Source organism: Homo sapiens, chromosome 22 (assembly GCF_000001405.40).
Source record: "Homo sapiens chromosome 22, GRCh38.p14 Primary Assembly".
Taxonomy (NCBI): domain Eukaryota; kingdom Metazoa; phylum Chordata; class Mammalia; order Primates; family Hominidae; genus Homo; species Homo sapiens.
The window spans coordinates 37,221,317-37,244,301 of record NC_000022.11 but is presented as its reverse complement, the minus strand read 5'-3'; the positions used below and the strand labels follow the sequence as shown (position 1 = coordinate 37,244,301).

Genomic DNA, 22,985 nt, shown 5'->3' with positions numbered 1-22,985 from the left:
AGAGCAGCTTGAGTAAGTTCCCCTTCCGTTTCCTCCTGCCCCACCACCGCTGCTCCTCAGCAGGCGCCTCACCAGCCTCCACACCCCTTGCGCCCGCAGAAACGCGCCTGGCCCTGAGCTGTCACCACCGACACTCTCCAGGCTCCGGACACGATGCAGGCCATCAAGTGTGTGGTGGTGGGAGATGGGTAGGTACCTGGCTGGACTTCCTCACAGCCCCCAACTGGGATGCCCTGAGATCCTTCCGCCCTGGTGCCCCTGGGGAAGCCCCTGGCCCTGCAGAACTAGGCGTCCCTGGAAGGCAGCTTGGAGGGGACGCTTCCTTCTCCGAGGGCCCACAGGGAGCACCCGGGGGTGGGCTGAGGGGAGCTTCACCCTCTTCAGCCCCACCCCACCCCAGAAGCCATCTCGGTGGAGGGTGCAGGACTATGGGTGAGAGTGCCCAGGGCTCCTCACCTGCACCCCAAAAGCTGGGGGCAGGTCTCCCACGGAGGCAAGCCTCAGTCTTTACTCTGTGGATGCAGGAGGGAAGTGGGAAACCTGAAATTCAGCCTTTGTCCCCAGGCTGACCTGGGCTGTCGTCACTGGCTTGGTGCCGCTGTGTGGCCTTGGGCAAGTCACAGCACCTCTCTGAACCTCAGCTTATTCATCTGGGAGGAGGCCTATGCCCTGGGGATGCTGTGGGGTCGCTTGAGATAAGCTGAGTGGCTGTCTTGCTTGTAGTATGTGCCTTCTAGCACCCCCTCCACTTTCTCTCCCCTCCCCTCAGCCTACCGGGTTGGGGAGGATGTGTGGGGGATGTGGGTGAGGAGCAGAAGAGGCAAGGGGACATTGAGAGACAGAGAGGGAAGGAGGAGGCTAAAGGATGGGAGGGTGATTGTGGGGTCGGCAGGGGAGGGGCAGGCTGGGCTGAGACCCTTCTCAGTTGTCAGATCCCAGTGACTTCAGGCTGTCTTGTCCCCTGGGGGCCTCAGTTTCCTCATCTGTAAAATGACAGGTCCAGGCCAGGTGCAGTGGCTCATGCCTGTAGTCCTAGCATTTTGAGAGGCCAAGATGGGAGGATTGCTTGAGGCCAGGAGCTTGAGACCAGCCTAAGCATCATAGCGAGAACCTATGTCTATAAAAAAATTTTTTTAAGCCAGGAGTGGTGGCATATGCGCCTGCAGTCCCAGCTACTGGGGAGGCTGAGGTGGGAGAATCGCCTGAGCCCGGGAGTTTGAGGCTGCAGTGAGCTATAATGGTGCCACTGCAGTCAGCCTGGGTGACAGAGCAAGACGCTGTCTCTTAAAAAAACACAAAATAAAAGGACAGGTCCAATTTGTCAATCTGTCATGCCTGCCAGCAGCCACATCTTAGGGTCCAGCCTACAGGCTCACCCTGGAGCATGTTCTAGCTGGAAGGGGGCCTCCTGTCCAGCCTTCCCATTCTACAGAGGAGCAGCCCAAGGCTTTGAGAGACTCAGCTCTCCTGGCCTGGGCCCTGTGGCCCCGACTTTGGCTGTGACCCATCTAGGTGGGGGCGGGCCCATTTGTCCACCAGCCTCAGCTGATTCTGATGCATGGCTCCTTATCTGCCCTCGCCTGCCCCAGCCCTGTTCACTTCTGCTTTGTATCTGATCGGAGGAGGGGCGGGCGGAAGTCAAGGGTTAACGTTCCAGTCATTCAAAATTACCTCGGTGGCAGGCCCAGGGGAGGGCGATGGTAGGAGGAGAGGATGAGCTGTCTTCTCTGAGCAGGAAGTGACAAAACCACGCAGGGCAGGGGAAGGCCCAGAGCTGTCCCTTGGCCTCTGGGCTTCGGCTGAGCTACCTGCACCCGCTCCCAGCCTCGCATGCTGAGGGTGGAGGAGGCGCGCGTTATCACTTCCTTCCTATGTACCAGCTCTGGGGTTAATCTAGCCTTCTCTATTTATCCTCTCACCAAACCTAATAGGTCCATTTTACAGGTGGGAAAATGAAAGTTCAGGGAAGCTAAGTAATTTGCCCAAAGCCTCACAGGATTTGAACCCAGACCACTCTGACTCAAACCCTGACCTGGTAACTGCTCTGCTCCACGGGGGAGGTGAGAGGGAAGAGCAGGGTCAGGTCTTCCCTAGCAGCCATCGGCTGCTGCCATGCATCAGGCCCTGTGCTCAGTGCTTTGATAGGCCTCGTTGGATTTACTCCTCAGCACACTCCTATGAGGATGGGCTCATCTCTATTTTCTAGATGGAGAAACTGAGGCAGAGGCAGGTTAAGTGACTTGTCCAAGATCATACCACTGGTAGGTGGTACAGCTGGGATTTGAAGCCCAGGTCAGGCGTCGGGGGCCCCTCGGCATTGCCTGGGTCTGCTGGGCACCCTCTGTCCCACATCACTGGCCCCTGGAGAAGCCTGTGGGAAAAGCGGATTGCCAGCTCTGCGCACACCTGTGGATCAGAATCTCTGGGGCTGGACCCTGAAGTCTCCACTTTAACAAACATCCACATGACTTGCAGGCTCTCGGGTGTGAGAACACAGACAGGGGGCATCTCACATGGGGAGACGGAGGCCCAGAGGGCTAGGCTGGGTGGATGCTGAGGTCTTTGCAGAGGACCAGGCAGAAACCTCCCCACGTCTCCGGCAGAGCCCATGACCGCCGCCCTCTTGCACTTCCTGTCTTTCAGGGCCGTGGGCAAGACCTGCCTTCTCATCAGCTACACCACCAACGCCTTTCCCGGAGAGTACATCCCCACCGTGTGAGTTCCTGGGGATATGTGGGGTGGTGGGAGGAGGGGAGAGACCGTCACCAAGTCGACCCCCCTTTCAGGCACTTCCTGTGGGCCAGACCCTGTGTGGGCACCCACAGCCTCCAGCCCAGTGGAGCTGCCTGACAGTCCAGCCAAGAAGGCAGCACTGGCGCTGAGAGGTGCTGGGGGCTCCCAGAACCCGGGATGGGGTATGGAGGAAGGGGTAGAAGGGAGGAGGGGTGGCCTTTAGGCTGGGCCTCCAAGCAAAGGGACGTGGAGGAGAAGGCTGGCTCAGGCAAGAGCAGGAGCTGGGAGAGGAGCTTCTGCGGAAGCAGGCTGCTGGAGGAGGTGATCCAGAGAGCCTGACTCCAAGGAACAGGGACACCTGGGGACAAGGCATGCTGAGGGGTGGAACAGAGCTGTCTGCAGGCCTGGGAGGCCCTGCGCTCTATTGCAGGATGCGGAGGCAGGGCTGTCATCGGACGTGGAGGGAGCGTGTTGGTGTCAGACTCAGGAGGGAAGGATGACTGGGGAGGCACCAGCCCCTCCCTGGCCAGCCCTCAGGGGTCCCCATCACTCCTAGGACATTTCCCCGACTCCCTAGCATGGCACTCAAGGCTCCTGATGGCCTTCACTCAACCTCCCACCTGGCCTTATTACCCATTACTTTGCTTCACACTCTGCCTCCTCCGGACCCTACTGTTCGCCACAAGCTCCCTGCACATTTCTACCCCAGGGCCTTTGCTCAAGCTGTTCTCTCTCCCCATAGTGCTTTTTCTCCCCACATCCACCTGTCTAAAGCCTCCAGGCGCAGCTCCAGTGCCCCCTCCTCCGGGAAGCCTTTCTGATCTACCACGAAGGGGTCTCCACTCCCCAGAGTGACTTTATCTGATCTCTCCCATGACTATGAGCCTGTGGAGGGCAGGGAGCCATGGCCAGCTCTTTGTGGGTCTCCCATTATCTCAGCACAGTGTCTTCTACATGGTATGACACATGCATTACCTTACACACAACACATGTGTTTTGAGTTGACCTGACTTGGACATCGTGGGAAGGACCACAGGAAGATCGATCATAGCCACCATCTAGCAAAGGCCTGCCACATGCTGGCCCCTGCGCAAGATGTCACACATGTGTGATCTCATTTGATCCCCCTGGGAGATGGCTATTAGCATGCACAGGACACCCATGGGGAAGCTGAGCCTCACAGCCACTAAGAGGCTTGCCTCCCAGGCTTACACGGTCCTGTCCAGCTTCAGAGCCAAGGTCCATGCAGAACCTCGCGGGGGCCCTCATTTCTTGATCTTAATGAACCCCCCTTTCAGGGGCAGGGATCAGGCTCTCCTAGGAAGAGGAGGGCAGGCAGAAGGGAGAAGAGAGCCTGGAGCCGAGATGCTTCCAACCCACCCCAGAGGATTCCTCACTACCCAACCCCCAACCCCAGACTTGGGTGGGCTGGGCTCTCTCTGCTGCTGTCTCTCCCCGGGACACTCTGCTCAGCTGCCTTAGATGCCCTGGCCCAGGCTAGAGGAAGGCAGGCAGCCAGGAGAGGGCAGGGAAACCCTAGCAGAGAGCCTAGAAAGCCGCTTTTGCCCCAGCTCGGTCCTGATGCTGGTGAGTGCCCCTCTCTGGTCCTGTCCTTATATACAAAATGGGAACAAGGATTCCTGCCCACTCACCATCAACTATCAAACGTTTATCAGGTGCCTCTAAGTGCCAAGGGAGGGCTGGCTGCAAACCTGAGCAGGGAGGGAGAATTAGGTGAGGCAGCTCCTGCTCAAGGCCATGGTCACCAGCAGTGTGTTGTCACTGCCTCTGTCCCTGGGTCTCTGGATGCTGGCTTGAGACCTTGTCCCGCCTTTGTGCATCTTGGCTGAGTTGAAGGACCCACTTGCTGAAGGACCTTGGACCAATCACTTCCCCTCTCTGAGCCTCAATCTCCTTTTCTATAAGAGGTAGAGGCTTGGAAGTCCCAAGCTCCTTCCCCAGGCACCTCCCTTGTACGTTGAGATGGATGGCTGAGGCTGCTGAGGCCAGGTTATGGCCAGGTGCTCTCAGCAGCCTGGAGGTCCCTGATCCCTGGTGGCCCCTAGTGGACTTTGTTGTCCTGGACAACATCACAGAAGCTGGAGAAATAGGCCCGACCAGATCTACCTTCCCAAGTCTCTCCGAAGGATTGGGTGAAGGTATCCCAGTAGGGCCAGCTCTATGCGTGTGGCCACCTATCCAATTGCACAGGGCCCCATGCTCAGAAGGGTCCTGCACCTTGTTTAATACTCTGATGTCTACATCTTGAAATTCTTAATCATTTTTGAGCATGGGCCCTGTACTTCCATTTTGCACTGGGTCTTGCAAGTTCTGTGGTGAATCCTGCCTCACACCCTCATATGGCTTCAGGCACAAAGTTTCTCAGCCCCAGACGAGACCCCAGAGCGGGATCCTGCTACTGCCAATGCCTGTGCCCCTGTGAAGGGAGGGTAAAATAGTCACACTGGGCCCTTGACATTGGAGGGGGAAGAGGGAGAGAAGGTGGGTTGGGAAAAACAGGCAGCCCCAAATCTCTGGCACCTGAGATTAAGGTGGAGAGAGCTTCTGGGCTGAGGATGGTAGGTTTGCTGGGGGTTGGGGAGGCCCCTGCTGCAGATACAAGATCAGATAAGCCTGAGAGCTGGCTCCCCATGCTGCCAGCCATGAGGGGTTAACAGCAAAGGGATGGACCTGAACCTTCGGAACTGACACCTTCCTGAGCAGCCAATCAGTTGCCAGGACTCGTGGGGCTGCACCGTGATTGGCTCTTGCCGCCTGCTCTGTTGTATAGACCCTATATTGGAGCCGGCAGGGCCCTGTGAGTTCTTTGCATCAAATCCCCCGTTTCGCAGATGGGGAGCCTGAGTCTGCTCTGTGGATGGCCCCGTGCTAGGTGTTGGGGATACAGAAACATGGCAGGAAGACAGTGCCCTCGTGTGCCTGTGGCATAGAGGGGCGCCCCCTTACACCTCACCTCGTTAGAACCAAGCTCGACGGAAGCCCTGGTGAGCTTTTAAAACTGAAAGTTAGGCTGGGCGCCGTGGCTCATGCCTGTAATCCCAGCACTTTGGGAGGCTGAGGCAGGCAGATCGCTTGAGCCCATGAGTTCGAGACCAGCCTGGGCAACATGGAGCAGAAACCCCATCTCTACAAAAAATACAAAAATTAGCCGGGCATGGTGGTGCATGCCTGTAGTCCCAGCGACTCGGGAGACTGAGGTGGGAGGATCGCTTGAGCCTAGGAGGGTGCGGCTGCATTGAGCTGTGATTGTGCTACTGCACTCCAGCCTGGGCAACAAAGTGAGACCCTGTCTCAAAAAATAAAATAAAATAAAAAGAGCCTCCCAAAAAACAACTGAAAGTTAACCTGGCCTAAATCTCTCCTGTGGCTCCCTTCACACTTAAAACTCATCTTAATGCGCAAACCGTGAACAACAGCCCCCGTCTCCCCAGCCTCATTTACCACACCCCTTACCCACTTCACTCCAAGTACACAGACTGCCTTGATGATCTCTGCCTCCCCCGAACCTCTTCACTCCCCTTTATGACACCCAGAACCCTCCCTGCTTCCTGTCATTCAGTTCCCTGCTTAAACATCGCCTCCTTGACCCCCTGTCTACAGCAGCCCCCCGTCTCCAACCTGCCCTCTCCATCCCACCACCCTGCTTGGCTGTCTTCATAGGCCCCCCGACAGCCCGACTTCATCTTGCTGCTCCTTTGCTGCCACTCCTCCTCTTGGATGGAAGCTCCCTGAGGACGGGGCCCTTATCTGCCTCACTCCCTGCCATCGCGCCAGTTTCTAGAACAGAGCTGAGCCCATTCCTGTTGCTCCGTCATGACTGCCTCCCCGACCCCGGGGAGGAAGGCAGGGCTCAGCTCTGCATGGAAGAATGTGTGCTGCTAATTGAGGTTGAATCATTTGGCACTTAATTTTCACTTTCATTTGAAATCCTCTCTTCGGTAAACTGGCGAATCCAGCCTGGGATTCCAGTGGACAGGATGACATCAGCCTCCCTAGCTGTGTGCGCCAGGCCCCACCAGGTTCTGCCTGGCCTCTCGGCAGCCCCATCCCTGCTCCTGCCGCTGTGTGTGTGGGTGCCTCATGATGTCCAGTGGCTCAAGCCTCTGCCTTAGCTCAGGCACCCCTTCTGTTGGGTATTCTGTTCCCTCCTGCTCCACCTCTCCCTGCCCCGTGACACCTCCAGCTGCCTTCATCTTTCAACCAATAGCACGGTAAGGGCCTCCCCTCCTGGCTGATGTGCCAGTTTCCCCCTCTGTTCCCCTCTGGCCCCTCCCTAAGACTTCTCCAAGAGGGTCCCTCCCTCCCTCCCTCCTTCCCTCCCTCCCTTCCTCCCTCCCTTCCTCCCTTCCTTCCTTCCTTCCTGACGGAGTCTCGCTGTGTCACCAGGCTGGAGTGCAGTGGTGCGATCTCGGCTCACTGCAACCTCTGCCTCCCGGGTTCAAGCGATTCTGCTGCCTCAGCCTCCCAAGTAGCTGGGACTACAGGCATGCACCACCACACCCAGCTAAGTTTTGTATTTTTGGTAGAGACAGGGTTTCACCATGTTGGCCAGGATGGTCTCGATCTCTTGACCTGGTGATCCACCTGCCTCAGCCTCCCAAAGTGCTGGGATTACAGGCGTGAGCCACCGTGCCCAGCTGGGACCTTTTATAAATGCAAATCTGATCTCATCACCTCTGCCTGGCTTGGCCCCTTGCTGGTTCCCCATTGCCCTGAGAACCAAGACCTGACTGGTCCGTGCCCCTATGACATCAATCCTTTCTCACCCCCAAGTCACTAGCCATGCGTGCCCTGTGGTCTCTGGGTTCCTTGAATGCACCATCCTTCCTCCGTGGGGGTGGGCTTCGGTGGTGGTCAGGTGATACCTGGGTGCTGGGGCCCCTTCCACCTGCCCCATTCCCCTCCTCCACTCCATTCTAGGGCCAGGCCTCAGAGTTCTACAGGCACTAGATGAAAACATGGTCTCTGCTCTCTCCAACTCCATTTCCAGCCATGAAATAGCAGCGATGCTTACCATGTGGGCCTTTCTGAATTGGGTAACAGGATCTAGCCTTGCTCTGCCACCCACTGGCTGGGAGATCTTGGGCAAGTCCCTTCCTCTCTGTAAGCCTCAATTTCTTCATCCGGAAAATGGGGTGAGGGTTGCCCATGGTGGTCTGTGCATAAGGTTCCTCTCTGGTCCTGGCTGCCTGTGGGTCTCTTAAGTAAGGGGGACCCTCAGGGGTGTCACACCATTGACACATTCCTGCACCTGTCCCTCTGGTCCTCTGGGGAGGGGCCCTGTGGCAGGGGCATTTGGGGACATGGAAAATGAGACTGCTTAGCTTCTCAGCATCTCCCAGTGGGGTGGCTTGAACATCCTCTGTTTTTTTGGATTCTCCTAATGGCTCCAAGAAATAGGTATTTTCCCCTCCACATTAAAGAGATTGAGGCTCAGAGAAGTTAGGTCACTCACCCAGGGTCACACAGCCAGGATGTCCTGGCTTCCCAAGGAACTCTGTGTTCCCGCCCAACAAGAAAGGTCCTTGACCTCTTCAGGCCTCAGTTTCCTCATCTGTCTAATGGGGGTAACTTAAGATCCTTTTGTCTTGGATCACATGAGACTTCAAGACCTAACATACAAAGACCCTCAGCCCCCTGCCTGGCCTCAGAGAAGGTGGCTGTTGCTTCTCAAGGTCCCAGCTCTTTCCCCATCACCGTGGCCCTGAGATTCCAGGGATGACCCAGAGGAGACAGGTGAATCTTGTGGGGCTTCTTGGCACTAGCACTGTGGCTGGACATTAGAGGAGAGAGTGTCCAAGCATTTCCCAAAAGTGTGTTTCTGGTCAAAACTGGAAAAACAACACAGGTGTGGCTTTTCCCATCATGCCTCACTGTGTCTCCCTGGACAGCGCCTTCTTCCTGAAATCCCACAGCAGTGTAGGTGGTACCCAGAGTAGGTGCACGCCAGCACCTGCTGTGCACCAGACCGCGGGCTGGCCCCAGGGTGCAGCGGCAAACAAATGAGGCTTAGTGCCTGCCACCTGGGATGCTGAGTTCCCCAAGGAGTGCTGGTTTAGGTGGGGTGGTAGCCCCGACATGGCTGGAAGTCAGGAAAGGCTTCTTGGAGGAGGTGACATTGAGCAGGGGCTGGAGGGATGAGTAAAAGTCAGCCAGCCTGGCAGTGGGGAGGAAGAGAAGGGAGAGAGGAAGGAGAGTGGGAAGTCAGGGGCCACTGTTTGCAGGCACTTTCCAGACAGGCGGGAACAGGGCCGTTTGAGGAACTGAGAGGTAACCAGGAATTCTGTCCAGGGCTGGACAGGCAAAGTGTATTAAAAAGGCTGGGCTGCCCACTTTTTGGGGGTGTGGGGGACTCCTCTCAGGAGAGGTGTCTTTTGTGTTACTCTGAAGTGTTAGCGCTTCTGCAGCCTAACATTGAGTAGCGTTCTCTGAGGACTTCCTGGAGGAGGTGGTTTAATTCCCTTCCACCTGCATTCACTGGGTGACAGGCCTGAGACTGTGGAGAATAAGCAGGCATCGGCCTGGCCCACACAGAACCCACAGCCCTTGAAGGGGTGGAGACTCACCAAGTGCCTGCTCGTGGTCCAGGCAAAGTAGTCACCTGAGAGAGGGAACCATGGGCTCTTTACAGGTAGAGGACGACGAAGCTCCGCCAGAGAGGAGGACTTGTCTGGGCAGGGTTTTGAAGCATGAATAGAAGTTGGGAGTGAAATGGGGCTGGAAGCGTATTCCAGAGGGAGATACAGACAGGATCAAAGGCTTGGAGGGCTGGGCAGCCTGGAGGGTGTGGGGGCCAGAGACCAGGTTGGTGAGAACATATGGACAGCTAAGGTGGGAAGGACATTCTGGGCAGGGGCTTTGTGTGGACCAGCACAGGGAGGTGGGCAGTGTGAGCCTTTCCCGGGAAACGGCTTGGCTGGTGTGCGAGGGGAGGAGTAGGAGGAGAAGTCAGAGGAGCCGGAGGTCTCAGTGGACCAGGTCAGGGCCTGTGTGGGGGACCACAGCGGGAAAAGTGACAGTGATTCCCTAACCCTCAGGGGCAGGCGGTGAGGGCATTCCCGGAGGCACAGCTGTGGCCTGGGGCAGTGAGCACTGGTCGTGGTCACTGGTTTCTGGTTTCTTACCTAGTTGGGTCACTCACTGGCTGTGTGGCCTTGGGCAAGTCACTGCATCTCTCTGAGCCAAGTTTTCCCTTCCACAGCGTGGGTAGCCAGCACCTTCCTCGCGGGGATGTGTGTAGCAAGAACTGGCTTGCAAAACCTCCCCTATTCCGAGCTTGGAGCCCTGGGATGGCCCTCCCAGCATTCGTTGGGCTTCCCCGTCTCTGATATTTGTCAGGCCCCTCACCCCGTGTCTGGCCTTCCGCCAGCTGTGGGGGCAGGATCAGGCATGTACTCCTTGGTGGCCCCAGCGCTGGCTCTGCACCCGATGCATAGTAGGTGCCTAGCAAGTGCATCTGGAGGCTCGTTCGATGGCCCTGCAGGGCTCTCTGGGTCTGGCGGGAGACATTGGGAGTCAAGGTCAGTGCCTCACACCATCTCCTCGGCAGCATGTGTCTTTCTACCGTTTGCCGTGGCCCTTCCCATGGCCAGTGACTAACAGCTTTCACGCACACTCTGGGGTGGGCTGAAAGGCCCCGGAAGCAGCCCTCTTTCCCTGGAAGATGGGAGATGAATGACAGCACCCTAGCTTCCTGCCTTCTCTGGGGACGCCCTGAGCACGGTCCGTTCTGTCTCCCAGGTGGCCCCAGCAGGACTGAGAGCAGCAGCAGTCCACAGCCATGACAACTCAACCACCTGCCCTGTGTCAGCTGCTGTCCCCTCCTTTATTCCTCCCCACTCCCCTTCTGCAGCATCCTGGAGTCACTTCCCGAATAAACCCCTCACATCACCTCCTTGTCTCAGGGTTTGCTTCTGGGGGGACCCAGCCTGAGACGGGATGAACATTCATTCGACAAAATATTGCGGCTGGGCGCAGTGGCTCACGCCTGTAATCCTAGCACTTTGAGAGGCCGAGGCGGGCGGATCACTTAAGTTCAGGGGTTCGAGACCAGCCTGGTCAACATGGTGAAACCCTGTTTCTACTAAAAATACAAAAATTAGCTGGGCGTGGTGGTGCATGCCTGTAATCCCAGCTACTTGGGAGGCCGAGGCAGGAGAATCACTTGAACCCAGGGGGCAGAGTTTGCAGTGGGCCGAGATGGTGCCACTGCACTCCAGCCTGGGCGACAGAGCGTGATTCCATTTCAAAAAACAAACAAACAAACAAAAAACAACAAAAAGCAAACATTGAGTGGCAGCATAGGGAGAGAGGTAAGTTTATTCTCATCAAGACTGGGAGGAAAAGTTACACAGCCTCAATTACCTTTCCAAAGGACAGGTACGGGTAGGAAAAGGATTAAGAGACAATCTTTTTTTCTTCTTGTTAACTTGTATTACATTTTTAAAAAATATAATGAATCAGTAATGAAACAAATAAAGAAACCCAATTGCAAATGCTGTGTGACTTTGGGCCAGTCGCAGACTGTCTCTAGGTCTCAGCCTCCGAGGAATGACATGGAGCTGGACCACAATTCCCAGGTTCTGGGGTTTGAGATTGACCTTACCTCCGCCTTGCCTGCTCCCCACAGGTTTGACAACTATTCAGCCAATGTGATGGTGGACAGCAAGCCAGTGAACCTGGGGCTGTGGGACACTGCTGGGCAGGAGGACTACGACCGTCTCCGGCCGCTCTCCTATCCACAGACGGTGTGCTGCTCCCACCTGCCTTGCAGTCCTGACCTTTGCTGTCTCTGTTCCCTCTGCTTGGGATGCCCTTCCAGCCAGCTCAGCCTGGGAAACCCTACCTCTCCCCTTAAGGCCCAGCTCAGGGAGTCTGCCTGCCTTGCATGTCCCAGGCAGAGAAGGGCTTCCTCTTGCACTCCCTCAGCCCTGCATTGGTTCCCGGTCCTCAATGTGCCCATCTTCCCACCCCATTGCCTCCTGGGCTCTGGCACCCCCTGTTTCCAGTGGTGGGGCAGGTGGATTCTGCACAGGGCCCCAGGAGGCAGCCCAGCATGGTGAGCCCTGGGAGTGCTGGGGGAGGGGAGAGGTGGAGGATGCCTGCAGGTGGCTGCTGGGTCCTCGCCCTTCCTCCAGGGTATGCAGGGAGGCGGCTAAGGCCGGTAATCAGATGGTGGATAGTATATGGATTGGAGTATGGACTCTAGAATCCCAGATCCTCCCCTCACCAGAGTGCACGTTGGCAAACTCTTTAACCTCTGGAAGCCTCACTTTCCCTGTCTGAGGAATGGGGCTACCAGCAGTGCTTGCTGCAGAGTGACATGTGAGGATAACCACTTCGCAGAGGCCCTGGCCTTTAGTGAGCGTCCTAACAAACAGCAGCCTCGTGGTAGAGGCGAGAAGGGTATCTCTGCTCTGCCCAGATCCTAAGTCCCCAGCATTCCCTGGGGTGTTCCACCCTCAGGGAGCCCCAAGCTCCACCTCTCGGTGGCTGCCATGGTGGGACACCTCTGGGCCCTCCTCACTAGCAACCTCGCTTGCTCTGTCCCCAGGACGTCTTCCTCATCTGCTTCTCCCTCGTCAGCCCAGCCTCTTATGAGAACGTCCGCGCCAAGGTGAGCTGGACAGGGTGGGCCTTGGGGGCTCTGGGGCAGGTAACCCTGAGGGACAGAGGGAGGAACTGGTGACTCTAGGCTGGTCCCTGGGGCAGCAGAGGTCGCATACAGAGAGGGTCCCCAGTGCCAACCAGGGCTGGCAGAGGGACTTGAGGGGGTAAGATTCAGAGGACCTGGGGTGGGGGGTGCTGCGATAGTTAGCTATACCCCCACTTTCCATGGCTGCATTCTCCTCCTCCCCACACAACCTCATGTCCGCCTCCGATTGTCACATAACCTCATGTTTGCTTCTTATGTCTGCACAAAACCTCGCCTCCTCCTTTCCTACAATCATGCGCCCCCTCCTTCCTGCACAACGTCGTGGCCTCCCCTCCCTGTGCCACCTCACGTCTCTCTCTCCTCACCGTCGTGCCCACCTCTGATCTTCTGGCAACTTGCTGCCTCTCCTCTCCCTACACCCTCACACTCCCTCTGATCCCCGCACAGCCTCGCGCCCCCTCTTGACCCATACAACCTTGTGTCCCCCCACCCACCTGCCCAGTGGTTCCCAGAAGTGCGGCACCACTGCCCCAGCACACCCATCATCCTGGTGGGCACCAAGCTGGACCTGCGGGACGACAAGGACACCATCGAGAAACTGAAGGAGAAGAAGCTGGCTCCCATCACCTACCCGCAGGGCCTGGCACTGGCCAAGGAGATTGGTATGGGCCTCGGGCTCAGAGGGGCGATCTGGCTGCAGGGGAGGCCCTGACTTGGCCTCGTGGTGTGATTGTAAACACGGGCTGCAGGGCCAGGCTGTGCAGTTTGAACTCAGCTGTGCTGTGCACTTGCTGTGTGACCTTGGGCGAGTCACGTAGCCTCTCTCTGCCTGTGTTTCCTTATCAGAAAAGCATGGGATAGTGATAGCTCCTGCCTCCTGGGGTGGTTGGGGGAATTCAGTAACTTATTCCAGGTGGAGCTGCCAGGGCAGCACCTGTGTGTGAGAAGCACTCTGTGTTAGTAGTAGTCGTCCTAGTAGTATGAGTAGTATCTATTAATAGATACTGAAAATAAGGAGGTGTGCTTTGAGCAGACAGAAGCAGAGATTGAGTGGGGGTGCTGTGGTTGCTTGGAGGACAAGTGGCAAGTCAAACTTGGGTGTTCTGGGAAGGCTTCCTGGAGGAGGTGGCGCTGCATTAGATCTAAAGGGTGACACATTTCCTTCCACCACCTTCTCTCCTCCCTTTCCCCACTCCCTTTGGTTTCTCAGCTCGACCCCTCTTTGCCTCCAAATCACTGGGCTGGAGAAATATAGTAACTTCTCAAGGTCACCCAGCTAGTAGGTGGCCCAGCCAGATTTGAAGGAAGGACAGCAAATTATTGGCTCACTGCTGGGGGGTGCTTCTTTGTAGTGGCTCAGGGCTGCCTGCATCAGGGAGGCGATGACCATGGGTCTGGCTTCATGCATGGTACCCAGGCCTGCTGGCTGTTCCTGTCCCTGTCCCTGGTAGGTCCCAATGTGTCTGTAGCTCAGGGATCCTTGCCCAAAAGCCCAAAACCACCAGCTGGGTTTGGTCATATGAGCTGTGCCCTCTGCCTCACCACAGGACTCTGCAGGCCCAGGGTTTGGCCCCCAAATTGAATCCACTAGACCTCCTCCCGCCCCACCGCCCCAGCCCCGCCCCACCTCCCCCTGCCGGAACTGGGAGGGCCCTGGGGACTCACATCTCTTCACAGGAAGAGAAACCGCAGCCACCACCTCCCTCCTTCTGTGACTAGCGTGGTGACACAGCCATCTTCCCCGGGGGCCTCAGACTATGGCTCACACCCTGGCTCCCTTCCCCTGTCCTAGGGCCACAGCTCCCCAGCCTGCAAGTCTTTCCTTTTAAATATCAAGGATTCATCCCTGCCTTCTCTTTCTGACCAACCAGCACCCCTCCAACCCCTGCCCCTGGACTCCTTCTATTCAGGGTGCAGCTCTCCAGCCTGTGGCCTGGCTGTCACTGACCTCTCCCTTGTAAAGCACATGCTTTGGGATCATGTGGAGGGTGCTGGAGGCCTGGATTCTGGTCCTGGCTCTGATACTGATTGGCTGTGTGACCTTGGGTTAGTGGCTGCCCCTCTCTGGGCCTCAGTCTCCCTCTCCACATAAGCTGACCTGGACAATCCCCAAAGGCCCTCTCTCCTCCATAAGGTGGTGACTCAGAGTTCTTGCCTTGGCCTCTAGCCAGTCTTTCCTGGCTGACCCTGCATGGAGCTGGGGCAGGGGCAGTGATTTTAACTGTGCCTCAGACCAGCTTAGGCCTAGGGGGAGTCCTGGGGGGACTGGCAGGGATAGTGAGGGAAGCAGCAACTGCCTCTGCCCACCTGGACTCCCCAGCCCTGGGATGACAAGTTTTGGGGGCAGCCCTGAGCCCAGCTGATAATCACAGCTGATGTGGACTGAGCACTTCCTGGGAGCCACTTCATTCTCACAGCAGCTATGACGAAGAGCTCTTGTCACCTTCACTTTACAGAGAGGAAACAGGCTCGGGGGGACATGTTGCTGGCTTAAGGCCACCCAGCCAGGATTCTGACAGGGGTGGACTGGCTCCCTAAGCCACAAAGCTGAGGGCCATCTGTCCTCCCTGCACCTCCACTGCCCCCACCGCCCCCTCACCCTCCTTGCCCTCTCTGTAGCTCCCCTGCCCCCTGCCTCAGCTTGATGAGCCATCGCATGGCAATGAGTCCTAGACAGATGGGAGACTGAGGCCCGGAGAGGGGGAACTGACTAAAGTCCTAGAGCAGTGAGAGGCCGAGCCAAAGTGAGCCCTGGCCCCCCAGCTCAGGACCCTTGTCCTGGGTGAGTGGGTGGCTGGGTGCCAGGGAAAAGGCAGTTGGTGGATGTGGGGGAAGTGGACGCAGATGTGGTCCCTTATAAGGAGACAGTGGCCAAGTGCCCAGTGACACCTCCTCAACACAGGGGGCTGTGGTGACCAGACTCCGGGCTGAGCTCAGGGCACCCTGCTCTTGCCAGCCAAGCCCCATGACAACCACTGCCCATGATCCCTGGTGGGCGTATATGCCTCCAGGTAGAGGGGAGACGCCCAGCATGTGACTCAGAGCGAGTGACATCCTCTCTGAGCCTCAGGCTCCTCGTCCCTGCCCCACCCTTCCTTTCTCCCCAGCACCTGGCCTCAGTGGGCTCCCCTGTTCCAGGGGCTGCCCCTCCTGCCATCCCGACTTCTCCCCCCAGCTCTGTGCCTTCGGGCCTTGGCTTCCCCACTCTGGGCCTGTTTCCTGGTCTGTGAAATGGGAACTCACCCCGGTGTTGTTGGAAGCACCCAGCTCAGTGCCTGGCACAGGGTAGGTGGTGACCAGCGTCCATCCCCTTCCATCCTGCCACAGAGAAGCAAGCGGGCTTTGGCGGAGGGCCCAGAGTTCCCCTCCCCTCCCTTCTCCTTCCTCTTGGTTCTGACATCGGCCCCCAGGCCTGCATAGCATCTCGGCAGAAGGGGTTTTGTGGTTTTTCACTTCAGGGAAACTGTGCAGCTTGAAATGGACATGGGAAGTCACACGGACTCTTTGCAGAATGTCATGGAACGCCGTCCCTGGGGGTGGGAACTAGGCCTGCCTTTCTCCTCATCTGTGCCCCGGGCTCTAGCCCTGAGGGGTCTTCATGTGGGAGAAGGCTGGGCCTCCCATGGCAGGACAGAGGAGCTCTCCAATGCCACTCCTCCCAGAAGGCCCCCAGCTGGGCCCAGGTTGAGGGAATACATCCAGCGTGTGAGTTTGGATGAGTCGCATACTCTCCAGGAGCCTCAGTTTCCTTGTCTGTAAGACAGGGACGGTGCTAAGGAAGGGGCTGATGATGTTGGGAAGTTCCTGGGGAGGGGGCCCTGAGGGCTTCAGGCCTCCTGGGGATTATTTGCAACCCTGGGAGAATCCTGGAGGGATGGGCAAGACAATTTTCTAGAAGGTGAGGCTCCCAGAGATTTGGTCACTGATGCTTGAGCCCTTTCCTTCACAGAAAAGCATCAAAATTCCCGCCCTCCTTCCACGGACTAAGGGCTATGTGTCCAAGAAAGACACAGACCTGCCCTGGAGGCCTTAGTCTCTCACTGAGTTCACGCTCGCTATTACAGACATGAGGAAACTGAGGCACGGTGACGTTAAACTCCTTGCTCCTGGTGACACAGCCTCCAGGTGACCCCACTGGGACTGGATGGCGGCCCCCAGAGCCTGGTGTTCAGTTGTATGGCTTGGGAGGGGGTGTACGGCATGGAGGGGTGTATGGCGTGGGAGGGGGTGTATGGGGTGGGAGGGGTTGTATGGCATAGGAGGGGTGTATGGCGTGGGAGGGGTGTATGGTGTGGGAGGCGTGGGAGGGGTATATGGCGTGGGAGGCATGGGAAGGGGTGTATGGCGTGGGAGGGGGTGTATGGCGTGGGAGGGGTGTATGGCATGGGAGGCGTGGGAGGGATGTATGGCGTGGGAGGGGGTGTATGGCGTGGGAGGGCTTGTATGGCATGGGAGGCATGGGAGGAGTGTATGGTGTGGGAGGGGTGTATGGCGTGGGAGGGGTGTATGGCGTGGGAGGGTGTATGGCGTGGGAGGGGTATATGGCGTGGGAGGGGTGTATGGCGTGGGAGGGGTGTATGGCGTGGGAGGCGTGGGAGGGGTGTATGGCATGGGAGGGTGTATGGCGTGGGAGGGGTGTATGGCGTGGGAGGAGTGTATGGCGTGGGAGGGGTGTATGGCGTGGGAGGGAGGGTGTATGGCGTGGGAGGGGTGTATGGCGTGGGAGGGTGTATGGCGTGGGAGGGGTATATGGCGTGGGAGGGGTGTATGGCGTGGGAGGGGTGTATGGCGTGGGAGGCGTGGGAGGGGTGTATGGCATGGGAGGGTGTATGGCGTGGGAGGGGTGTATGGCGTGGGAGGAGTGTATGGCGTGGGAGGGGTGTATGGCGTGGGAGGGAGGGTGTATGGCGTGGGAGGGGTGTATGGCGTGGGAGGGGTGTATGGCACGGGAGGGTGTATGGCGTGGGAGGGGTGTATGGCGTGGGAGGGGTGTATGGCGTGGAAGGGGTTGTATGGCATAGGAGACATGTTGGCCCAGAACCCCCCCCGCCACTTAGGCCTTGGCTCTCCTGTCCATCTCCCCAACCAGACTCGGTGAAATACCTGGAGTGCTCAGCTCTCACCCAGAGAGGCCTGAAAACCGTGTTCGACGAGGCCATCCGGGCCGTGCTGTGCCCTCAGCCCACGCGGCAGCAGAAGCGCGCCTGCAGCCTCCTCTAGGGGTAAGAGTCCCCCACTCTAGTGCCCAACTCCCATACACAGCAGGCCCTGGCTGAGCAGTGGCCTTTGGTTCACTGTGAGTGGCATTTAGGCCAGGACAGAAAGAAGGTGGGTATGGAGGTTGCCTCAGTTTCCGCAGCCTACTTGTCATCTGCCTGGGCCAGTCTCACTCTCTGGAGCTCATCTTCCAGAGGCAAGGCCCAAGGTATGAATGAATGCCTGGTAACCCCCCACCCCCGGGCCAGGGAGTGGGTGTCACGGAGCCCCACTCTGCCCATTCCTGCAGGAGGTGATGGAAAAGATGCCTTGGTCCCTGGCCCTAGGAGAGCCCAGTCGAGCCAGGGAGATCCTGCACCCACATATGTGGGTGGAGGTGGGAGAGCCTGAGCTATGATCCCCAGGGGGCAGATGGTGGGGTCAGTGAGTTGGAGGCAGCCCACAAGGCCTCCTGGAGGTGTGGGACCAGAAGGACAGAGAGGACTGGTGAGGTGGGGAGAGCAGCATTGGCAGTCCTGGTGGGAGTCAAACCTTGAGCAAAGACCTGGAGGTGGGAATGAGCTGTGAGCCAGGAAGGCGAGAGCTGTGGATTCTGCATGTCCCCAAATTCTCTTTCCCTGCTTATCTTCCTTCCAGGTTGCACCCCAGCGCTCCCACCTAGATGGGTCTGATCCTCCAGGATCCCCACCCAAAGCCTGATGGCACCCCGGCTGGCCATGCTGTCCCCTCCCTGTGGCGTTTCTTAGCAGATGGCTGCAGAGCTTCGTTGATGGTCTTTTCTGTACTGGAGGCCTCCTGAGGCCAGGAACGTGCAAATTTGCAGGTGCTGCATCCCAAGCCCCTCATGCTCCTGCCTTCCTGAGGGCCAGAGGGGAGCCCCAGGACCCATTAAGCCACCCCCGTGTTCCTGCCGTCAGTGCCAACTGCCGCATGTGGAAGCATCTACCCGTTCACTCCAGTCCCACCCCACGCCTGACTCCCCTCTGGAAACTGCAGGCCAGATGGTTGCTGCCACAACTTGTGTACCTTCAGGGATGGGGCTCTTACTCCCTCCTGAGGCCAGCTGCTCTAATATCGATGGTCCTGCTTGCCAGAGAGTTCCTCTACCCAGCAAAAATGAGTGTCTCAGAAGTGTGCTCCTCTGGCCTCAGTTCTCCTCTTTTGGAACAACATAAAACAAATTTAATTTTCTACGCCTCTGGGGATATCTGCTCAGCCAATGGAAAATCTGGGTTCAACCAGCCCCTGCCATTTCTTAAGACTTTCTGCTGCACTCACAGGATCCTGAGCTGCACTTACCTGTGAGAGTCTTCAAACTTTTAAACCTTGCCAGTCAGGACTTTTGCTATTGCAAATAGAAAACCCAACTCAACCTGCTTAAGCAGAAAATAAATTTATTGATTCAAGTTTGGAGATATCGTGATTTCAGGTGCAGCTTGATCAAGGTATTCAAATGATGTCATCGAGGCTTGTTTAGCTCTGGGCTCTGCCTTCTGCTGGCTGGTTCATTCTCAGGCAGGCGACTTAGGGCTTCATCCTCCCAAGTTCAAGTTCAGGGTTTCATCCTTCCAAGTTCAAGTTCAGGGCCTCATCCTTCCAAGTTCAAGTTCAGCCAAAAAGAGCAAATGTCTATCCCAGGCAAAGTTCTAACTAAGATTTACTGTGATTGGACCAGCTTAGGTCCTGGGCCCCCTTTTAACCAATCATATTTGTCAGAGTGGTGCAGTGCTGTGCTCTGACTGGCCAGGCATGGACCATATGCCATGCTGGAACAGAACTGCGGCAACCCCAGCGAAAGCGTGTGTACTGGGGGGGAGGGTGAGTTCCAAAGTGGGCTGAGAGCCTGGCGGGAATTTGGGAATTTGGGCGAGAAACCCTCAACCTCCACTACTGGAGGTCATGGGAAAGTGTTCATTTCAGCAGTGAAATGAAACAATGCTGGACCCCGAAGGTGATAAGCAAAGGGGAGTTTCTTTAAAAGAGAGGCGGGGTTGTTGTGAGGATTTAAGAAGTTCCGACATGGGCACAACAGTGCCTGCACAGTCAGTCCCACCTCAGGACTTGCTAAGTTCTGTGGAGGTGCCAGACCTCCCCCTCCTGCGGACAATTACTCTCCTCTATCTCAACTTCTCACTCATTCATCAAACACACATTTATTGAGCACCTCTTCTGTGCCTGGCACTGTTCTAGGTGCCAGGGATCCAGCAGTGCTCAGAAGTCCCTGCCCTCAGGAGGCTGACACTCTAGAGAGGCTAAGAGATCTAAGAGGCTGCCCCTGACAACCCAGAAGACCCCAATTTCCAGCCCATGAAATGCTTGAGTTTCCACATTGTGCTTTCCCAGAGCTCCCAGCCAACCCCACTATCCCCATTAGTCCCCATGTTCTGAGGCAGGACCCCCTCCAGCTCACTCACCTCCTGGGAGCCCCCCTTAAAAGGGATTAGGTGCAGAGGGGAAACCCCTTTGCTTTTCTTAGTTTCAGCTCAAAGTCATGATGTTTTCAAAGTTACTTCTCTTCTGAAACAGAAAGGAAATACTAAACCCCACCCATCCATGGCACCATACAGATGCAGGCGGCCAGGACCCCACTCCCTAGTATGTTCGATGTCTAAGATCCCTGAGGCACCCCCTGAGGTTGGCCAGAGTCTGAGGGAGCCTCTTTCTGATCCCTCCTCTTCACAGAGCCTTGGGATAAACTCCAGAGCCTCCGCAACAAACCATGGCCCTGAAGGTCTGGCCATCCTCTGCCTCCCACTCTTATTGCACTCGTGCCTCTACCATCAGACTGGACTGTCATTTCTTCCACTCCACATTCATGCTTCTTTCATTCCAGGCCTTTGAACATACTGGACCCCTTTCCTTTGCTCCTGGAACTTCCCTGCAGGGCAAAGGTGGGCCCGGATCTCCTTCCATGTGTGTTCAGCCCGTTAGGTCGACCCCAGTAGAGACAATCTTTGCTTCTATATGATAATAATGTCAGTAAATAACTTCCTTTACTCATTGTCTTGGCTCCCATGCACATATTATCTCATTTAATGTTCTAATAGCCTTCCAAGATAGGTACTCTTAGCCACGGTTTGCAGAAGAGGAGATGAGGATGCGGGAGGGCACAGGTTTGGCTCAAATTGACAAGGCAGATGCTGTCCTTTCCCACCCTCTCCCTCTGTTCCCATCCTCCTTGCTAACAGAATCCTAGTTTTGTGCATAGCAGCACCGTACCTAACACCAACAAAATACTCGTTTTTCCAGCTGGTTTTGTCACTGGGGTTTTCAGGCCACATAGTTCTGGCCTAGAAGCCGATGTGAATGAAAGTCAGCGGGAGAGATGGCTTCTGTGAAAGTTGTTTTCTTCCTTAAAAAAATGACAGGCCCAGGCCGGGCGCGGTGGCTCACGCCTGTAATCCCAGCACTTTGGGAGGCTGAGGTGGGCGGATCACGAGGTCAGGAGATCGAGATCATCCTGGCTAACACGGTGAAACCCCGTCTCTACTAAAAAATACAAAAAAATAGCCGGGTGTGGTGGTGGGCGCCTGTAGTCCCAGCTATGCGGGAGGCTGAGGCAGGAGAATTGTGTGAACCCGGGAGGCGGAGCTTGCAGTGAGCCGAGATTGCGCCACTGCACTCCAGCCTGGGTGACAGAGCAAGACTCAAAAAAAAAAAAAAAAAAAAAATGACAGGTGGGATGTCTGGAGCTGCAGCAGCCGTCTTGTGAGCTTGAAGCCACAAACATGAAGATACAAGGCCCCGTGCTGAGAGGGGATGAGCAGAAAGATAAAAGGAGCGTGAGTTCCTGGCAGCAGCAGTGGGCAGCTGAGCCAATGCTAACAGCTGCCTTGTTATGGGAACTGAAGAAAATGAAACCACCCAATTGTTAATGTCACCGTTGGTCACACCTTTTGTTACGGTAAGCTGACAGCATTTGTCACTGAAGCGGTAGGACTCCTAGCGCAGTGCTCTTCCCACTGTATAACTGTTCCCAGCAGCCACTCCAAGTGGGGTGAGCCACTTGTTTCTGCTCTGCAAATTGGCTGAGGATGGAGGCCCCTCATATAGGAAAGAGAAAGCTTATGGGAAGTCAATGAGAACCTGTTTTGAAACAGGAAGACCTGCCGGTTGTGGGCAGGAGCTGACACCATGGTTTGCTCTTTCATGTGACAACAACCCCTCCCAAGTGCCCACCTAGTGCCAGGCCTGGGCTGGCAGCAGGTTCCATGCCTCACTTCGCCCCTTCTTGCAATGAAATCATGGCCTGGTGGTTGAGGAAAGTGCCTGCCAGACAAGGCCACTTCATCTGGTGCTTTCTATTCTAGAGACTGGCTGTTCCTTGTCCCTTCTTCAAAGCGGAGGCCTGGGGTCCCCCAAACTCCTCCGATCCTTTCACCCTGGCATTCACTGGCCACCAAGCTTGGACAATTCAGCCTCTGTCTATTAAATCCACCCCTTGTCCCCACGGCTGCTCCCTAACCTAACCCCTGCCATGTCTCCCCTGGACAGTAGCCACAGCCTCCTCACTGGCCTCCTGTCTTCCCTCTCTCTGCCTCTACTCCATTTGCCACCAGGTGGCCTGGGGATTTTCCTCATTTACAAACAACTGTGCAGTCAAAAATGCTGATAGAACCACAGACTTATTCAATCATTGAATCCTTCAGCAAATAGTTATTGAGACCGTGTGTCAAGCCCAAGGCTTGGGGGTGGGTCAAGCATGAGCCCGCTCTCAGGAGCTCACAGGCCAGTGGGGAGGCTGTCCAGCCAGCAGAGAGCCCCAGGAAATGGCCCTTCTGCTTGGATGTCTCCTGAGCATTTCAAACTCACACGCCCCGCCCAGCCTTCATCACTCAGTAAATGCATCCAGGCTCTCAAATCAAAAACCTGGGAGTCCTCCTTGACACCTTCTCCCTCACCTTCCACTTCCAACCCATCACCGACAATCTCCTCAGTGACCCCCTTCTCTGCATTGTCATGGTTTCTAATGTCCAAACCAGCACTGTATCCTCCCTGTGGTAGCCTCCTGTCATAGTCAGCAATTGGTACAATAATGCTGTGTAACAAACCAAACTGCCTTGAAATCCAGAGGCAAGAAGCAGCAGGCCTGTATTCTCACACTCACTAGTTGTAGGTGGACAGTGGGTCTGCTGACTTAGGAGGGTTTGGCTGGTGACTTGGCTTCGGGCTGGGGATGGGTGGTCTCGGTCCTGGCTGTGGGTGTGTGTGGGTCGGCTCCACCTGTCTCTCATCCTCCTTAGACCAGCATTCCCTGGGGCATGTCCTTCTCATTGTGGATCACAGGAGCATGAGAAGCCAAGCCAAACCATGAGGTGTTTAAGGCCTCTGCTCATGCTTCACATGGCCGAGCCCAACA

The 22,985-nt window shown here is 56.5% G+C and overlaps 1 protein-coding gene across 2 annotated transcripts, besides 12 other annotated features; it reads left to right on the top strand.

Moving 5' to 3' along the window:
* RAC2 (Rac family small GTPase 2) lies at positions 33 to 19,032 on the top strand. 2 transcript variants are annotated; one of them, NM_002872.5, is made up of 7 exons: positions 33 to 188; positions 2,644 to 2,715; positions 11,384 to 11,501; positions 12,308 to 12,370; positions 12,912 to 13,071; positions 17,499 to 17,631; positions 18,263 to 19,032. In NM_002872.5, exons 1-6 carry the CDS (start codon positions 154 to 156, stop codon positions 17,627 to 17,629), a joined length of 579 nt encoding a protein of 192 aa, NP_002863.1. In that variant the 5' UTR covers positions 33 to 153; the 3' UTR covers positions 17,630 to 17,631; positions 18,263 to 19,032. The 2 variants fall into 2 exon arrangements, with proteins under 2 accessions (NP_002863.1, XP_006724349.1); XM_006724286.4 differs by lacking the exons at positions 17,499 to 17,631; positions 18,263 to 19,032 and adding an exon at positions 16,359 to 16,563.
* Positions 123 to 192: an enhancer, noted in NCBI's record as "active region_18957". NCBI's record gives its function as "activates an Ori minimal core promoter by ATAC-STARR-seq in GM12878 lymphoblastoid cells {active_cell/tissue: GM12878}" and the evidence as "EXISTENCE:reporter gene assay evidence [ECO:0000049][PMID:35858748]".
* Positions 213 to 402: an enhancer, noted in NCBI's record as "active region_18956". NCBI's record gives its function as "activates an Ori minimal core promoter by ATAC-STARR-seq in GM12878 lymphoblastoid cells {active_cell/tissue: GM12878}" and the evidence as "EXISTENCE:reporter gene assay evidence [ECO:0000049][PMID:35858748]".
* Positions 1,116 to 1,679: an enhancer, noted in NCBI's record as "H3K4me1 hESC enhancer chr22:37638663-37639226 (GRCh37/hg19 assembly coordinates)". NCBI's record gives its function as "activates a minimal SCP1, AML or CMV promoter by ChIP-STARR-seq in naive H9 embryonic stem cells {active_cell/tissue: H9 hESC(naive)}" and the evidence as "EXISTENCE:reporter gene assay evidence [ECO:0000049][PMID:30033119]".
* Positions 1,509 to 1,658: an enhancer, noted in NCBI's record as "active region_18955". NCBI's record gives its function as "activates an Ori minimal core promoter by ATAC-STARR-seq in GM12878 lymphoblastoid cells {active_cell/tissue: GM12878}" and the evidence as "EXISTENCE:reporter gene assay evidence [ECO:0000049][PMID:35858748]".
* Positions 1,680 to 2,243: an enhancer, noted in NCBI's record as "H3K4me1 hESC enhancer chr22:37638099-37638662 (GRCh37/hg19 assembly coordinates)". NCBI's record gives its function as "activates a minimal SCP1, AML or CMV promoter by ChIP-STARR-seq in naive H9 embryonic stem cells {active_cell/tissue: H9 hESC(naive)}" and the evidence as "EXISTENCE:reporter gene assay evidence [ECO:0000049][PMID:30033119]".
* Positions 5,912 to 6,590: an enhancer, noted in NCBI's record as "H3K4me1 hESC enhancer chr22:37633752-37634430 (GRCh37/hg19 assembly coordinates)". NCBI's record gives its function as "activates a minimal SCP1, AML or CMV promoter by ChIP-STARR-seq in naive H9 embryonic stem cells {active_cell/tissue: H9 hESC(naive)}" and the evidence as "EXISTENCE:reporter gene assay evidence [ECO:0000049][PMID:30033119]".
* Positions 6,591 to 7,269: an enhancer, noted in NCBI's record as "H3K4me1 hESC enhancer chr22:37633073-37633751 (GRCh37/hg19 assembly coordinates)". NCBI's record gives its function as "activates a minimal SCP1, AML or CMV promoter by ChIP-STARR-seq in naive H9 embryonic stem cells {active_cell/tissue: H9 hESC(naive)}" and the evidence as "EXISTENCE:reporter gene assay evidence [ECO:0000049][PMID:30033119]".
* Positions 9,550 to 10,049: an enhancer, noted in NCBI's record as "H3K4me1 hESC enhancer chr22:37630293-37630792 (GRCh37/hg19 assembly coordinates)". NCBI's record gives its function as "activates a minimal SCP1, AML or CMV promoter by ChIP-STARR-seq in naive H9 embryonic stem cells {active_cell/tissue: H9 hESC(naive)}" and the evidence as "EXISTENCE:reporter gene assay evidence [ECO:0000049][PMID:30033119]".
* Positions 10,050 to 10,551: an enhancer, noted in NCBI's record as "H3K4me1 hESC enhancer chr22:37629791-37630292 (GRCh37/hg19 assembly coordinates)". NCBI's record gives its function as "activates a minimal SCP1, AML or CMV promoter by ChIP-STARR-seq in naive H9 embryonic stem cells {active_cell/tissue: H9 hESC(naive)}" and the evidence as "EXISTENCE:reporter gene assay evidence [ECO:0000049][PMID:30033119]".
* Positions 13,039 to 13,178: an enhancer, noted in NCBI's record as "active region_18954". NCBI's record gives its function as "activates an Ori minimal core promoter by ATAC-STARR-seq in GM12878 lymphoblastoid cells {active_cell/tissue: GM12878}" and the evidence as "EXISTENCE:reporter gene assay evidence [ECO:0000049][PMID:35858748]".
* Positions 13,709 to 13,768: an enhancer, noted in NCBI's record as "active region_18953". NCBI's record gives its function as "activates an Ori minimal core promoter by ATAC-STARR-seq in GM12878 lymphoblastoid cells {active_cell/tissue: GM12878}" and the evidence as "EXISTENCE:reporter gene assay evidence [ECO:0000049][PMID:35858748]".
* Positions 21,380 to 21,519: a silencer, noted in NCBI's record as "silent region_13683". NCBI's record gives its function as "represses an Ori minimal core promoter by ATAC-STARR-seq in GM12878 lymphoblastoid cells {active_cell/tissue: GM12878}" and the evidence as "EXISTENCE:reporter gene assay evidence [ECO:0000049][PMID:35858748]".